The sequence below is a fragment of the Homo sapiens genome, chromosome 6, assembly GCF_000001405.40.
Source record: "Homo sapiens chromosome 6, GRCh38.p14 Primary Assembly".
In the NCBI taxonomy this organism is placed as follows: domain Eukaryota; kingdom Metazoa; phylum Chordata; class Mammalia; order Primates; family Hominidae; genus Homo; species Homo sapiens.
In genome coordinates this window covers 52,245,756-52,263,687 of record NC_000006.12, presented here as the reverse complement: position 1 = coordinate 52,263,687, position 17,932 = coordinate 52,245,756, and the positions used below count along the sequence as shown (strand labels likewise).

At 43.4% G+C, this 17,932-nt stretch overlaps 1 pseudogene; it reads right to left on the bottom strand.

Annotated features, from left to right (window-relative positions):
• Positions 15,584 to 17,314, bottom strand: SLC25A20P1 (solute carrier family 25 member 20 pseudogene 1; annotated as a pseudogene).

The window sequence follows — 17,932 nt, the reverse complement described above, 5'->3', positions numbered from 1 at the left end:
AGATAGAATACCCGATACGTCAGACACCTCAAAATCCTGGGAGTTCTTGCCCATAATGAGATCTTGTTACAGTATCTTTTTTTTTTTTTTTTTTTTTTTTTTTGAGACAGGGTCTCGCTTTGTGCCCAGACTAGAGTGCAGTGGTACAATCACAGCTGATGACAGCCTTGACCTCCTGGGCTCAAGTGATCCTCCTGCCTCAGCCTCCCTAGTAGCTGAGACCACAGACACGTGCCATCATGCCCCGCTAAGTTTTTATTTTTAATTTTTAGTAGAGATGAGGTCTGTCTGTTGCCCAGGCTGGCCTTGAACTCCTGGACTCAAGTGATTCTCCCATCTCGGCCTCCTAAACTGTGAGATTATAGGTGTGAGCCACTGTGCCCAGCCTACAGGATGCTTTTGAAACTACCTGGGTGTCCACTCTTTGGGGTTGGTTAGCCTGTTTGCACAGAAGCTTGTGATGGGGCCAGGGCGGGACTTCTGTCCTACCGTTATATGGTTTGAATAGCTTCTGAAGAATTTTTCAAGTTACTTAGAAGAATCATGTGACTTTATGGGGGGCCTCGGTCACATGGACCGGAAGCTGCTTTCTGGTGGCAGATGTGGCTCTGAAGTTGTGCCAGTTCTTGGCTGTAAGATTGCTGAGGTATTTTCTTTTCCATTTTTGCTGAGGGGTGATCCTTTACCACAAAGCAGGAGATATTCTTTGGTTCGTTAGGACAAAGGGATTTTTTTCTTAAAGGGAGTAGTACAAAATTATTGGGGAATTCTGTTTTATCTGGGATTTTTTTTTCCCCCTCACTGATGCGAGCGAGATCTAAGTCCTACTGGAAGTGGTCTAGAGAGCACAGTTTCAAAAGAGAGTGCAGTGGTACCAGAAGGAAGAATTTGCCATTTGTTGAGCATTGGCAATAAGTCAGAAGTTGTGCTAGGTATAGCAGTGGGTGCAAAAGTGGCGCTTTCTGCTCTGAGGCTTCTAGGCTGGGGATATGTCAATATGTTGGTGAAAATTTCAAAATATAAAGTGTACAGCTGGGCACGGTGGCTCATGCCTGTAATCTCAGCACTTTGGGAGGCTGAGGCAGGCGGATTGCTTGAGTCCAGGAGTTTAAGGCCAGCCTGGGCAACATGGCGAGACCCTGTCTTTATTAAAAAAAAATTAAGTATGATTATATACCAAATGAGGGCACACACAGAGATATAGGAATCCAGGGAGGACCATGAGGATGTCAGGTGCTACTGATGGGGTACAGCTATGAAGAACAGTTCTAGGAGTTCTTAGGGATCTCCTCAAGTGATTTGTTCTAGAAAGGCAAACATTCTGTCAATGGGACTCTTAGTCTGTCCTTCACCTCTGAGGAAACTGAGGCACAGAGTGGGGGGATATGTGCACCTACCATTGTGATAATAGCTGTAATATCAGGTTGACTTTGCTGACCATTTCATCACTCTTCAAGCTAGTCAAAAGAATAGTAGGTAGAAGACTATAGCAGCCACAATAGATACTAATTGTATTAAAATAGCATGATTCAACCTTTACATTGAGTTTTAAGAAACTTGTTTATGTAGTTCCCAGCTTACAAGAACAGAAAAGAGCTGGTAAGCTTTTCCAGGATAGGTTCTTGCTTGTTGACAGGTGATCCACTGCAGGACCTACTGTGGGGACCTGAAAGAGGCTGCTCAAGTGGGCTGACATGTCTCAAGTCCAGTCACCCCTGAGGGTATCGCTGTTGCCACCCTGCAGAGATTGCAGTGGTGACCCAGATTCACCAGAGAAAACTGCTAAATTATCTGCGTGCCTCATTCCAAAAGAGAAGTCTGTTTACATTTAGGTTTGTGGTCTGAAATACTGTAGTTAAAATAATTTGGGGAGCTTAGAGAAGTAAGTTTTTGTATCTTGAAAAATGGCACCTTATTCCTTAACTCCCCTGGATAAATGAAGTGGCAAAATGAAAGGGTGGTTTTCAAAAAGGACAATTTGGTAAGGATTGTTGAAATTGAATCTCTTCTCCGCCATTTACCGAATAACTTCAGGTAAGTTTTATGCTACTCTTTATTTCAGCTGTAAAATGGGGATGATTCCTGCCTTGTAGGATGCTTGTGAAACATAATTGGGAAAGCAGATGGCAGGTTCCCACCTGGTGTATTACTACTTCATGGCAGTGGTTTTGATTACTGCAAGTTCGAGGGCCCATTAAAACAAAGTGATTCATTTTGACAAATGTTTATGAAACATGATCCTTTAATCAAAACCATTTACAATGATTTCACCCTGGCTGCATTCCTGAACTCTCATCTCTTCCCTGCCTTTCCACTCTCTGATGGTTCCCACATTCCGGTCAGTGTGGCTCTGAGGCAAGCACTTCCCCCAGAGAGGACCCTCTCGGCGCTAGCTCGGCAATGCATTTTTCAGCTTTCTCCTGAGGACAGTGTTACCTCACAACAGGGCCGGGTGGTAGGAAAACATCAAGGGGGATAAAGAGGAGAAAGGTTCACAGAAACGAGTGAATCTGCCAGCCCTCTCTTTCTCATGTCTCCTGAGGAGATTTCAGACTACACCAGTTGTCCTAATGATTCTGAGCTTGTGAAGTGAGCTCTGCCTGGAGGGTTTGGTCAGTAGAATATGGCAAGCACAAGAGTCACCTGTGTGCTGGCTGCCTCAGGTGCTCAGCCCTAACAAGCTCTGTGCAAGCTCTTTCCCTTCCTTGCCATCCTTTCCTTTCCCCACTTCTCAAGAGCCAGGTAACGCCATGTCTGCTGTACATGTAGGGAAGTGGGGAGGGTGGAGCGTTAAACTCTGGTTGCATAGGAACTCTCACCTGAGAGCCAAAAGGTTGGCAGGGTGACATGAGCCCTGCACTGGTAAGCAAAGGCATGTGCATCTGAGTTCCTTTTCTGACACTAGGTACCAGAGTTAACATGCCAAGCTAGGCTGGCCACTTAGAGGAAAGTGCATGGTTTCTACATCTGGAAAAGGAGGTGGTTGAACTACGTGATTTCTGAGGTCCCTTCTGGTAATGAATGTGATTTTCTTTCTTTCTTTTTGAAATTGAGATAGAGTCTTGCTCTGTAGCCCAAGCTGGAGTGCAGTGGTACAAACATGGCTCACTGCAGCCTCAACCTCCTGGGCTCAAGTGATCTTCCTTCTTGAGCCTCCTGAGTGGCTGGGACCACAGGTGCACATCACTCTGCCCAGCTAATTTTTACATTTTTTGTAAGGACGGTGTTGATGTTGCCCAGGCTGGTCTCGAACTCCTGAGCTCAAGTGAGCTTCCCGCCTCAGCCTCCCAAAGTGTTGGGATTATAGGCATGAGCCACCATGCCTGGCTATGATTTTCTTTACATTCAGTGCCAGTTCCACCCACAAGACGTTAGCACTGGCACCACTTGATAAAACCTGGGTTGGACTGCTTGGAGAGGCAGGTCAGAATGAGTTGTTGGTCACCATGTTAAATATGCCTTTTAGGGACAGTGATTTCTATGCTTCCTTATTTTGTGGATAGTGTCCCAGGATGTTGCCAGCTATTTCAAGAGATTTTATTGAATTTCTAGAAACACTTTTTTTTTTTTTTTTTGACACAGTCTCACTTTGTCTCCCAGGCTGGAGTGTAGTGGCATGATCTTGGCTCTTGGGTTCAACTGATTCTCCTGCCTCAGCCTCCCAAGTAACTGGGATTACAGGCGCTTGCCAGCATGTCTGGCTACTTTTTGTATTTTTAGTAGAGATGGGGGTTTCACCATGTTGGCCAGGCTGGTCCCGAGCTCCTGACCTCAGGTGATCCGCTCGCCTTGGCCTCCCAAAGTGCTGGGATTACAGGCATGAGCTGCTGCACCTGGCCATCCTAGAAACACTTTAGAACAAAATTAATTTTAACTCCATTTTAAATTCCTGAAAAGTAAACCTGGTTTACTTTCTTTTTCAGGTCTGGCGCCTTAGTGATATGTCTTGGATTCTGGCTGGTCCGTTATTAACCAGCATGTAATCCTAGCTCATTCTCTTCAGTCTTTTTGTGAATATTTTTACTGTTAAGTTCTAAGTATTTTCCCACAGCCTGTAGGGGGATATTAGCCTCTGCTGAGATTTACCATTCTGATAATAGTTCTCCCAGCAGGTATATTTTGTAGCAAGCTAAACCTTCCTAGCTTGAAGTACCACTATTTAACCTTGCAATAGAAAGGTCAGCTCCTGTAATCTTGCGTATGTGTGCTGTGCTGCTTTTCTAGTAATTTCAGTGCATGTAGTCCTGAATAGGAACCACAATAAAACCTGATAAAAACCTCCAAAAACAAAAGTGTGTGGTTATTTTTTTTTTCTCTTTGAGACAGTCTTGCTCTGTCGTCCAGGCTGGAGGGTGCAAACACGGCTCACTGCAGCCTCAAACTCCTGGGCTTAAGCAATCTTTCCACCTCAGCCTCCCAGACAGCTGGGACTACCATGCCTGGCTGATTTTTAAATCTTTTGTAGAGATGGGGGTCTCTATGTTGCCCGGGCTGGTCTGGAGTTCCTGGCCTCAAACAATCCTCCAACCTCAGCCTCCCAAAGTGCTGGCATTACAGGCATGAGTCACTGCACCTGGCCTATTTAAAGAAAATATTACTACGAATATAACATGGAATATTCAGGAAGCTAGAGAATAAAAATTACCTTACTACCCTAATATAACTACTATAACTCAATTTGGTGAATCTTAAAACCAGTTTTAAGAGTGACACTTCATAGTATATCCAATTTGTATAAGCAAGTTTCAGATTAGGCACTTGAGATTAACAAACTGGTTTAGGAATTTAGGGACAAAAAATGTTTTTGAAACTGAACTTAAAAGTCAGATGTTTGAAAATCTGATTGCAGGAGAAAGGCAAATGTTGACAGGTCACATTTAACCCTAAGGGAGAATAAAAAGCTGAGAAAATTAGAGTTTAACATAGGGATGATGTATATAGGTTCTAAACTCCCAACCAAACTTTGGCTCCCAGGCACAACTTTATGTACTCGTGTGTGGGGCAGATGAGAAGCGACGGCCCTGCTGCTATATACTAGGCACCATATAAATTATAATAATTAAATCTTCCACTCTGTGACGTGGATTTTATTGTCTCAATTTTATAGAGAAGGAAATAGGCCTAGAAAGATTAGATAATTTGCCCAGGGTCTCAGAGCTAGAATGTGGAGATCCTACTGGCACTCTTGATTCTTAACTATGGTTTTTTTTTTTTTTTTTGAGACAGAGTTTTGCTCTTGTTGCCCAGGCTGGATTGCAATGGCACGATCTCTGCTTGCCACAACCTCTGCCTCCCAGGTTCAAGTGATTCTCCTGCCTCAGCCTCCTGACTAGCTGGGATTACAGGCATGCGCCACCACGCCTGGCTAATTTTGTATTTTTAATAGAGACAGGGTTTCTCTATGTTAGTCAGGCTGGTCGTGAACTCCCAACCTCAGATGATCCACCCACCTTGGCCTCCCAAAGTGTTGGGATTACAGGCATGAGCCACCGCGCCCAGCCAACTACTATGTTCTAACCAGCATACTGTGTGCTCCCTTCAAAGGGCTGGGAGTGCTCTGGGGAGCTGGAGGTGGTCAGAGCTACATCTATGAGTGAATCTCGTGGATGGGATGACAGAATTCTAGTGTGACGAGGCGTGTGGGTACTGGCATTCAGAGATGAAGTGGAAGACCATCCATAGCTGGTGATGCTGTCTGAGCCATCTCAGGGATTTGCCCTGAGAGCAAAGGGGCCTTTTTGGCAGTGACTGGTGTTTGCTATTTCATATTGTCTCACAAAGCTTGTGCTAGTGTAGTCACTCTAGTTATCAGGAAACTGCCCTGCTGGAGCCTGTTAACATTCTTAAACGAAGAACAATTCAAATATTTTTTTTTCCTGTTACAAAACTAGGATCTTTTCATTGGTGAAACACTATAAATAACCATAAGAAATAAATAAAATATACTTATGATCTAGTCACCCACAGAGAACTTATCTGGTATGTTTTTTCAGATACCTGTAGTTGGATATTATCAGTTTTTCAGATTACAAATTATGCTGTGATGAAAAACCATGTTGCCAAATTTTGGTTCACATGCTTATTTTACTTAGGACAATTTCCTAGAAGTATAATTGCTGGACCAAAAATAGGAACATTATTAAAGTTTTAGGTATACCTCACTAACTTGCTGATTTATATATATCTCACACGTATGTATGAGGATGATTTTATTGTCCTACGTCTTTGCTGACACTGGGTATAATCCTCAATCCCATCCCTACCTTTTAAAAATTGCCACATTTAGTCTGGTTGAGATTTGAAGTTTATTTTTAAGATCTCACACATAGACTTCTCATGACGTAATACTTTCAGTAATATCTGCAATTCAGAGTTATGGAAGTGGTTTAAAAATTCTTCCTATTATTAACAGAGAAAGTGCAGAAAAGGCAACTTTTACCACTGTATAAGCTTTGAAAACCTGAGGTGAAACGTTGGTGGAATATTGCATCTTAAGAGATATCATTGGCTGGGCGTGGTGGCTCATGCCTGTAATCCCAGCACTTTGAAAGGCTGGGGTGGGTGGATTGCCTGAGCTCAGGAGTTTGTGACCAGCCTGGGCAACATGGTGAACCCCGTCTCTACTAAAAATACAAAAAATTAGCCAGTGTGGTGGCACGTGCCTGTACTCCCAGCTTCTTGGGAGGCTGAGGCTGGAGGATTGCCTGAACTCAGGAGGTAGAGGTTGCAGTGAGCTGAGATCGTGCCACTGCACTCCAGTCTGGGCAACAGAGCAAGATTTTGTCTCAAAACAAAACAAAACAAAACAAAACAAAAAAAACCCACTATTATTGAAATCACCTGGTCTGATCTTGTTTCCATTAATCTTCCTAATACAGGCTGGGTGCGGTGGCTCATGCCTATAATCCCAGCGCTTTGGGAGGCCGAGGTGGGTGGATCACCTGAGGTCAGGCGTTTGAGACCAGCCAGACCAACATGGTGAAACTCCATCTCTACTAAATACAAAACAAATTAGCTGGGCGTGGTGGCACATGCCTGTAATCCCAGCTACTTTGGGGGCTGAGTCAGGAGCATCACTTGAACCAGGGAGGCAGAGGTTGCAGTGAGCTGAGATTGTGCCATTGCACTCCAGCCTGGGCAACAAGAGTGAAACTCCATCTCAAACAAAACAAAACAAAACAAAACAAAACAAAAAATCCTTTCTCATACAAAGATAAATGTGTAAAAGATAATGTGTAAAGGCTAAAAAGGGTTCAGATAAAAAGTCCAAAGATTAATTTCATTTCTCATTTTTAGAGAACAGAATTGCTCAGGTATCTTGACCCCAAGTCCTAGGTATCACTTAGAAGGTGCTGCTTGCCTTATAAATTTGGTCCTCTGACAACCCCCCAACTTTTTTTGTACCAGGGACTGGTTTCATGGAAGTCAGTTTTTCCCAGTCCAAGGGTGAATGTGGGGCTGGAGAGCAGATGGTTTTGGGGTGAAACCGTTCCACCTCAGATCATCAGGCATTAGATTCTCATAAGGAGTGCACAACCTAGATCCCTCACACATGCAGTTCACAATAGGATTCCCTCTCCTATGAGAATCTAATGCCCCACTGATCTGACAGGAGGCAGAGCTCAGGGCTATTCCTATTATAATCATTTCCCTCCTTTGTCAGCACATTGTTAAAGAGCTGATAGTGTTAGACCAGGGAAAAATGGCCCTGAAAGAGCTGGAGAGAGGGATCCCTTTATTTGTAGACAGAGTCTAGAGGGAGTCAAGAGGCCTGGGTCCAGGCCAAGCTTCTCCACCACTGGCTATCTGTAGGAAAGCCATTCTAACTCCCATCATCAGCTGAGTGGGTTGCACCAGATTGTTTCCAAAGACCTGTGTGGCTCCTGAAATCTATGATAGCTGAGATATCAAAGATATGGAGATGTCTTGCCTGACTTAATGGCTAAACTAATGGGTTTCCAGGTCTAGGGATGACCTGTAAGGTATCAGAGATGTCACAGGATAACAAAGTTGCTAGTGGTATTCTCCTGAGTTGTTTAACGCAAAATCTGCATAATCGACATAAATGTGCAATCTACAAGAAGCCTTCTCTCCAGCTTAAACAAGGGCTGGGCTCTGCATAGCCAAGAACCATTTCAGTCTTTATTTTTTCCTTGGTGTCCTTTCTCATCCACCTTCCTTTGACACTACCCTGCCCCCAGTCCTTCTCAGGGCCAAAAGCATTAGAGAGAGCAGTGGAATGAGCCCTGCTAACTTAGGAGCTCCTGCCTTCTGCTCTGGACCCCGGAGGGCAGACAGAGGAAGAGCAGGCAGGTTCCACTTTTCCTTCCCAGGTACCTCCCCATATTCATTTTTTTTTTCTCCTTTGCCCTTCATACATCCTTCAAGCCCTTACCTCTGCACAGATGAAGAAGTGTCCCTCACAGGAAAGCCATTTCATTGTGTCCTTCCACAGCATTTCAACTGAAATTAGGAGAACCTGAGAATCATCATTCTGAGTCAGATCCGTGCAGGAGTGAAAGTAACACATTTCTCAGAAGTGTGGTTGTTTCAGTGCTCTCACTGGATCTCTGCTGCCTCTTATTCTCTTCTCAATCCAGATCTTCATGGGAAACATACAGTTAAGACACTTGGAATTTTTAGCATTTGGAGTCATGTGATTGTTTTCCACAGAAGAAGGAAAAAACTGAAGAGGGCAGAAGATATATTATTACCCCACCCCATATACATGTGTGCATCCGTGCACGCGCACGCGCGCACACACACGCAGACACACACACCCCTACTTCCAAGACTGAAATTGTATCTTTAAATGAAATACCATTTTTTGTTGAATTTCCATAGGATCACAAATTTGGAAGGGACCTTGGAGGTGGTCCAATCCAAACAGCCCCTCCATGCATAACTCTACTCTGGAACATCACTACCAGTTGTTCATCAAGATTTGGTGTTCTAGAGATAGTCCAATCTCTTTCCCTTTTGAAAAATTTCTAAAGTTTTGAAAATATGTGGTGTAAGTTTTCTCTTCTCTAGAACATTCCGACTTTAATCATTTTTGTTGACAACTTTGTGAGTACTGATATATTAGAAATTGAAGGTAGCAAGAAATTAGGTAGAAGAAGAAATAAGCTAGTATTAACATCAAATTAAATCAAGTCAATAAATATCTACAGCTATGGGCAGAATAATTTGCTAGGGGTTTGAGAATGGTGGGAAGGGTAAAAGGCGGAAAGAAGTCACAGTTGTCTCCTTCAACAAGTTTAAGATCCAGAGAGCAGATTAGGAATAAACACTTTAACATGTAAAAAGCCAAAGCACATACAAATAGCCAAAGCACATGCAAATAGCCATTCAAGTAGACAGTTAAAAAGTTGTCTCTCATTGTCTCTAGTTAATTGCTAAATGAAATGTCATGAAAGTATGATGAGAGTTTGGAAGAAGGAAAGACATGAGTGGGTTTTGGGTCTGAGAACGTGGATATTGAGGTTGGATAGAACCCAGGTGAGCAGAACTGAAATGGTCATTCCAGGAACAAGACACTAGCCTGGAGAGGGTGAAGACTCAGAAATTCAAACTATTTTGTGGAGCAAAAGCAGAAAATTGAGTGTGTGGCATGTGGAGGGTTTGGGAAAGGAATTTGCTTTAATAAATGAGGTTGGGGGGCAGGCATGAGATTTGGGCCAATGCCTAAAGGCTCGGAAATTTAATCCTGGGCAAGAATGGAGTGAAAGGTCATCTTTCCGGGCCCAGGCTTGTCATCCCCACCCACCATCCCAAAACTCTGTTGGTTGTCAGTGGAGTTTGTTGTCCTTGGGGAAAGGACAGGAGCAAAAGTTGCTGATCCCAGGTTCATCAAACTGAGGAGAAATTTTGGTGGGAGGAAGCCAGGAAAATGTGACAGTGTTTGACAGATGCTCAGCTGGGCTTTCCCCAGGCATTGCATTCTGGCAGCATGTTGATTAATTCCATCCACCTCAACGCAGGAAATCAGCTTGCTTGCTGAGTAAGTGAAGTCTGCACGAAACCCTGAGGAGTTGCTGCCAGCCCGCGGTTGCAAGGACAGACCACGCCCACGGAGGCCACCGCCTAACGTTGACAAAGAACAGCCTCAGTTTCCCATTATTCTCTTCATCCCCACGCTTGCCAAAGAGCCTTCCAAAGTAGGAAGATAGGTATGGTTCTTAGCTATGAGGGAGTGAAGCTCTGAGATTTAAGACGTCTTTTTTTTTTTTTTTTTCAAATCTCAATAGCCTTTCAAGGATACTTGAGTCTCAATTTCTGTTTCAGAAAATGTAATGTGTTCCGTGAACCTCACTGCAATTTTATGGGAAGTTCAGCACCTTCCCTAATGTTCCCTAATGAGGTGCATCCCAGGCTTTCATGTGATATGAATCATTTAGGCATCTTGTGAAAATGCAGCCTGATTGAGTAGGTTTGGGATGGGGGCTGGAGAGTCTCCAGTTTTAACAAGCCCCCAGGTGCGAACAAGCTAGATGCTGCTGTTCCCAGGACCAAACTTTGAGCAGTAAGATTCTCCTAGATTGCAGGATTGAGGGGTAAGAAAGAGCCAACTTTCTCATTCTAAATCTTGCTCTATCCATACGTGCTGCCTCCCCTCCTGAGGCTGTTGTCCTCTCTCTCTCTCTCTCTCTCCATATATATATATATATGCTCCATGTAGACATCATAAACCTGTTTTGTATATAAAGAGGTTTACCTTAGACATGGAAATAATGGAAGAGAATTAAAGAATTAATTAAAGAATTAAAGCACAACATACACATTGAAACAATTTGAATATAAAGCTCATGACTCTTAGTTCCCTGGTCATCTCAGATACTAGGAGTTTCTGGATGGCAGCTCTCATTTCTCTTCTCTCTAGGGTTAACTGAAATTCCTATTATTATAATTATTTTGAAGACAAGATCTTGCTCTGTCACCCAGGCTGGAGAGCAGTGGCAGGATCATGGCTCACTGAAGCCCTGACTGCCTAGGCTCAAGCGATTCTCCCACCTCAGCCCCTCAAGTAGCTGGGACTACAGGTGCACACCACCATGCCCAGCATTTTTTTTTTTATTTTGTGTAGAGATGGAGGCCTCTTTGTGTTGCCCAGGCTGGTCTTGAACTCCTGGCCTCAATTGATCCTCCCGCCTCAGCCTCCCAAAGTGCTGGGATTATAGGCATGAGCCACTGTGCCTGACCATATTATTTTTTATGTGTAGCAATTTCCCTGTCTTTACCCTGGAATAGGCTCTGTCTTTGCACTTCCAAAAAGGTAAGTTCTCTTCAAGACAGAAGTGCCATCTGGTCTGATATAAAATTTGCAGCTCTCTTGGAAGGAGAAAACTGTTATGGCAATTTTTTTTTTGGTAGCACTTTTTCTTCCTGTTACCCAGCACAGAGACTGGTACAGAGTGAGTGTTTAATAAATGATGTTTCCGCTAACAAGTAGATAAAACTTGAATGCAAAAGCCTTCACAGGTCCACAGAATAGATTCAGAATTGAGAGGTCCCTCATGCGATCTGGAACTTTGTCCAGCCACTTAAACTGTATTCCGTCCGGGATCCTCACACAGCACTCTGGGGAAACTCCTTTCCGAAGTATTTTTTTCTCCTTACTTTTCTTTTCTCAGCTTTTGCCTCTGATCCCCTTCTCTCACTGCCATCTCTCCCGGCTTTTTTTTCATCAGAAGATCAGAAATTGCATGCTTTGAGAAAGAGAGAGAGAGAATGAATGAGAGACAACTACAGAGACAGAAGGGAAAGGAAGACTTCTGTGTTTTTTATGTTTTGTTTACCTATACCCCAAGTAATTTCTACTCTCACAAATATTGGCATATGAAGACCCTAGCACAGCATTTTCATCTGACAAATAATCATTTCTTTTCTTTTTTTTTGAGATAGGATCTCGATCTGTTGTCCAGGCTGGAGTGCAGTGGCACGATCACAGCTCACTGGAGCCTTGACTTCCTAGCTAAAGTGATCCCCTCATCTCAACCTCCTGAGTAGCTGGGACTACAGGTGTGCACCACCATGCCTGGCTAATTTTTGTATTTTTTTTGTAGAGACAAAGTCTCACCATGTTACCCAGGCTGGCCTCCAACTCCTGAGGTCAAGCTATCTACCCGCCTCGGCCTTCCAAAGTGCTGGGATTACAGGCGTGAGCCACCGCACTCATACCTAATCATTACATTTAAAAAGAAGGGTTAGTTTCTATGAATTGTGATTTTGTGGAGATTCTAGAAAGTGCATAATGGTTTTGAATATTTGACTCAAACAAATATGAAACATTGAATTAGTAGTTTCAAAAAAGTCTGAAACTGGAAATGTTTTGCATTAAAAGGAAAAAAAAACCCCAAGAATGATGTAGAGTTTGTGGGGTCTGTAGTTTTCTGCTTTTTGGGAGAGGCTCACTTCCTTTTTACTCTGTGGTCCCTGGCTCCACTTCTTGGAAGGTTTAAAAAATTTATTTTTTCTCCCTGTAATCTCTTTGGTCACATCTGACATGGTGTTGGTGAATATACCTTTCTTAGAGCTTTAATTCTTGTTCCTTGATGGTTGGGGGACTGAGGATTGGTTCCTGATTAATTTCTAGAGCTCTCTCAAAAACTTAGTGAACTTCTAATCTGAGTCAATTCTTTTTGAGGCATAATTCCCAGAACATTTCTATTTCTTTGTTTCTTCATTCCTATAACTCTGTCTTGATTTGATGGCAGATTACTAGAACTATACTTTTACACTTTTAATTGAGTCCTTTTATCCAGTTAAACATTTTTTTCCAGATGCTTCATTCTAATTCTTGCCCTTCGGTAATTTACTTGGTTGAAAGGTTTTATTGTGCATTTCTTTTTCAAAGGCTTTTTCAATCTTCTGTTGCAACCTTACAGGGCTCTGAATTTCTTAATTTCTTTCCTTTTTTTTGAGACAGAGTCAATTGCTCTGTTGCCCAGGCTGGAATGCAGTGCCGTAATCTCGGCTCACCTTTGCCTCCAGGCTCAAGTGATTCTCCTGCTTCAGCCTCCACAGTAGCTGGGATTACAGGCGCCCACCGCCACGCCTGGGTAATTAGGGTTCTGAATTTCTGAACTGTCTTCATTTCCTTTCATTTTTGTTTATCAACCTGCCAACTCTTTCCTGAGCTCATCTCTTTTATGTGTTACTTGGCCAAATGCAGACAACAGTATCCAAACACATGCAACTAACATTCTGTTTTCTAATCTCTTTCTCTAGAGCTTCAAGTTTATTAGGTACAAGATCTGCCTCTCAAGTTATTGCAGGCAATGGTTTAACTAAATGTTTTGCCATTGTAGAGCATGGATTATCGTCTGTCCAGCCTATGGCGTGCTACCTGACCACTGTTTCATGCTTTCTGTTATGATAGCACTTTACTTCAAGGCATAAATTTCTGTAACTGCAGATATACTGTCATGTTGCAGTAGTATATCTTGATTAGATGCACTTTTTTTCTTTTTTCTTTTTGAGAGAGGGTCTCACTCTGTAACCCAGGCTGGAGAGCAGTGGCACAATCTCTGCTCACTGCAGCCTCAACCTCCTGAGTAGCTGGGCTCAAGTGATCCTCTGGCCCCAGCCTCCCAATTAGCTGGGACTACAGGTGTGCACCACTACACCCAGCTAAGTTTTGTATTTTTTGTAGAGGGTTTTGCCATGTTGCCCAGGCTGGTCTCAAACTCCTGGCCTCAAGTGATCTGCCCTCCTTGGCCTCCCAAAGTGTGGGGATTGCAGGCATGAGCCACCACACCTGGCTAGATACCCCTTTTAAAAATGAGAATAAAAGTTTTTAAAAGTTGTATTTGTTAAACTAAATGTGTACATTTATTTTATCATTATTCCCAGCAATCTCATATTATTATCTTACTGGTTTATATGTGCGTGTTCACTTTTTTCCATGACTGTTTTAAGCTCATTAAGGTAGAGACTGTAATAATACAGTCTATTGCCTGTGCTACTAGCCCCAACAAAATGTATCATGGCTCCAAGCACATATGAGGGCATGAAAACATCTTGCTGATTTGGATGTTTGAAGAAGTATAGTATTTTACCACATTTGAGGCTGTGTGTAACTCATTGCTAAGACAACAGAGTCTTTTGGTATCTCTTTTTGTGGGCTCTTGGAGTTGACTGTAGTCATCTCGCTGTCAGTGTGTTGAATAATGGCTCCAATGCATTATTGAAACTCTTAAAGCTGGTGACAGCTTAGATCATGAGTGGTATAGAGCCAGTCAGTGAAGGGTTCCACCATAGTCAGCCGTGTGCCCATCATATGTTCATTAGTGTGTCCCTGGTATTAGCACATGATTTACATTATAGGAAGTGCTCAATGAATGCTAGATGAGATAAGAATCTGGATCTGTTGATTTAGTTTGAACTCAGTGATAGCCAGTTACCAGTCTGGCATCCTGATAAGAGTTGTTTTTACCCCAAGGGGGAAAACTGTGACCAAAGGTCAGTGTTGCCTCCTGCTTACATAAAGAACCATTTTGTTCTCCCCTGCAATCTAGCAAATCCTCTTGTTTTGAATTCGGTACTCTTGGTTCCAACTGATTTATTCATTCTTTCTTTCAAGAGAGCTGGTATATTCTTCTATGCATTGAGGTACAGCTCTGAATGGAAAAGAGATCACTGAAGAAAATGAGTGACTCAATCCACTCAATTTAGTACACATTTAAAGGTCTATTGCACATGTTGCTTTGGGAGCATGAGTGATATAAGCAAAGATGAAAACATGGCTCTTGATTTCATGGAGCTACCTTCACTGTGCACATGGAAGGTCACTCCTGGGGAGGCCTTGAAAATTCTCCGTAAGATGGGCTTAGGGGGTTCAGTCTGGCTAGAAGGGGTTGGCCAGGGGACTTGAGTCTGTCTTTGCATAGAATACACTGTTTAATCTAGATTGTATATTTGAGGATGTATATTTGGAGAAGGAGGCTGGTAGAGATTATTGGGAAGCAGGGTAAAGTTACCCAAATATATGAAGATCCCAGGGAACTATCCTAAAACATGTATGTGAGGGCAAGATACACAAGTATTGGCACAAGAGGTTGAGGAAGGGAACAATGCCTGAAAGGGTGATTTGAGGAAATCTTTTTGTAGAAGTTACACTTCTGGTTGTTCCAGAGAGAGCTGCAGAGGATTGCACAGGCATGGAGGGGAGCAGGGTGGATGGAAGGCCTGTGATCACAGAATTTTGATCGGTTTTTCAGGGCCTTCCAATGAACCTAAGAACAACTTTCTCTTCATTTTCTTCATGTGAAGAAAATGGCAAAGAGTTGTTCGAACATGTTACGCTAGAGGAAAATAACTTTGCCCTGCTAGAATGTGTCCTGCCTTATGAAAAGATGATGTGTAATTTTACCCAATCTTAATGAATGTAAAAAAAGATAAGTTACTGTTTTTTGGGGAATGTCTGTGTATCTCTAGGGCACAATGCCTGACACATAGAATGTGTTTAACAAATGTTTGACAACCTGAACTGAACTGAGACAAATTAACTTTTTGCAGGTCATTTAAATTTCATGTCAGAGCATTTAAACGCTTAATTTTTTTCCTTCAAAAATTGGAAACAAAAATATGGCGCTCTCATGAGAAAAGATTGTGCAGAAAGAGCCTTCCTTCACCCTGGGTTTTCTCACTTATCCCAGCAGGCTGGGACTGTCCTCACTGTGTAGAAAGGAAAGTTTTTCACCCATTCTTGGGAAATTAGGCTACTCTACTCTAGTTTTACTTTTGATTACTTGTGTAAAAAAAAAAAAGCAAAAATCAATAGCTAATAGGTTATCTCTTCCTAAGCATATATGCCCAGTCCAGTTGGACACAGATGTGGGGCTCAAGTCCAAATCCCCATGTGCAGCCCAGGATTAGGTGGTACCCTGGAAATCAAGTGGGTGTTCCTGGCTAGGGATTGAAGATGATCTCAGCCCCTGGTCAGCTGGTTGAAAGCATCCAAAGTGCCTCCAGTGAGAAGCTGAGATTACCTCTTTAATGAGAAACACTTTGGGTGTGGTAGGGCCAACCGTCAACTGGTAGGCAGTATTCTTGCCACAGGTAGTATCTGGTCTAGAAACTACTAGATCTCCAAATCCTCTTAAGGTCCCTTACATTGACAAGAATGAATTCAAGTTGCGAAATGACACACCAACTTATACAAGGTAGAGGATGTCATTAAGGCAACAGTCTCACCAAGTCCATGCGCAGAGCTCTGATCCCACCGTCTCCTCCCCTCATTCTCCAAGTCTGCTTAGTTCTGCCCACTACTCTTCCTTCTCAGCAACAGTTCCAGCATCCAGAAGTCTTGAGCAGCCTTCTGCCTCACAAGTTGGGGGTGGCCCAATTAAGAAACTTCATGGCAACTTCAAGGCCAAGGAAACAGGCTGCATTGGCTGGGAAGGCTCGGGTCATCACTGCATCAGACCCTTTAGACAAGGATGTGATTCCTTCATCCCAGATCAGCTCCCTCAGCACATCTCCAAAACTGTTAGGATATTTCCCAGGAGGTGCGTCTGGAAGGGATACTTGAGCACATCTTGCGGGACTGCCATTGCCCAGTTGAAGATCCCTGCAATGCACCCAGCCACCAGGATTCAAGGCACACTGAGCTCACAGACCCTCTTTCCTTCCGGAGTGAAGATATTTTTTAGCCATTCATTTGTCATGAAATACGTTCCGCTAGCTGGAACGTCTCACATAAGGGTAAGCACGGTCCCTTTGTAGATGCCTCGGATCTGAAACTCCTGGTACAACTTCTTTGCACAGTCCAAGGTTCCAGTGTACTTGGTTTCCCCTGAAGAAGGCTGAAAGTGTAACAAGGACTTGATGGGTTCTCCAGGGGTCGCGATGCCTGTGGTGAATGTACCAGATAACATCCCAGCTGCAAACAGCTGGGGATAGCTGAGCACATCTTCTGGGTGTTTCTGTCATAGTTTCTTCCTCAAACCAAACCCAAAGAAGCACACAGCAAAGATGGGGGTGACACCGATGATAGGGGCAGCCATTCCCTTATATAGCCCTGTGATGTCCCTTCTAAGAGTCTTTGGGAGAGAGTCAAAGGTCCCAGAGTACATGGGAGGCTGTCTAGGCAAACTCGGTGGCTGTGTCTGCAGTCGGACCTTGACAGTGTCCAGAGGGTGCCCCATGAACACCAGGCACATGCCACCAAAGCCACTGGCCAGCAGGTTCTTGAGCAGGCTGATGGGCTTTGGCTGGTCGGCTATGGTCAGTCTGCCTATCCCTCAGTCTGTCAGTTCCTGGGCCGTCCTGGCTCTGCTGCCCCAGCTGCAGTGCCAGGGCTGCCAATCTTGCATTTAAAGGCTTCTACTTGCTAATTAATTTTGGTTAAAAAAAACCATTCTTAGAGATAGCCAAGGTAATGGGCATTTAAGTGTTGCATCAATGTGATTTTACATATATGTATATTTGTCCATGGCTCCTGGTTCATAACTCCCACAGCCCTCGTTATATCCTAAGTGATAAAAATAATAAGCATATCTTTTGTTAGGGTATTTAGCTTTTTTGTCTTTGTTTCCTGAAGCAGCTTCAGACAGCTTCAGAGCAATAAAGGTGAAAAAGACAGTCTTTTATTGTAATGTTGGGGCACTTTAGGCCTAAGAAATAGGCCTCAGAAAAAAGAATCTCCCTCTCTGAACTTCTCCTGCCCACCTTTTCTCCCCAAGACCATAGAAACAGAAAATATCCTGTCATCTAACATCACCCCCCACACCTTTTGTCTTGGAGCTGGCCATAAAGAAATTCTTTGATTTACCTTGTCTAATCATAGGCCATAAGACCCTCAATTCAGGAAGGGTCCTCCCCTCTACCCAGGAGGAAGGAAGGCTGCTCAGAGAGGCCAAGAAAAATCTGAACAGGCAGGCCTGGCTGAATTTCCTCATTCAACCTGTTAATATCAGGTTATACCCTT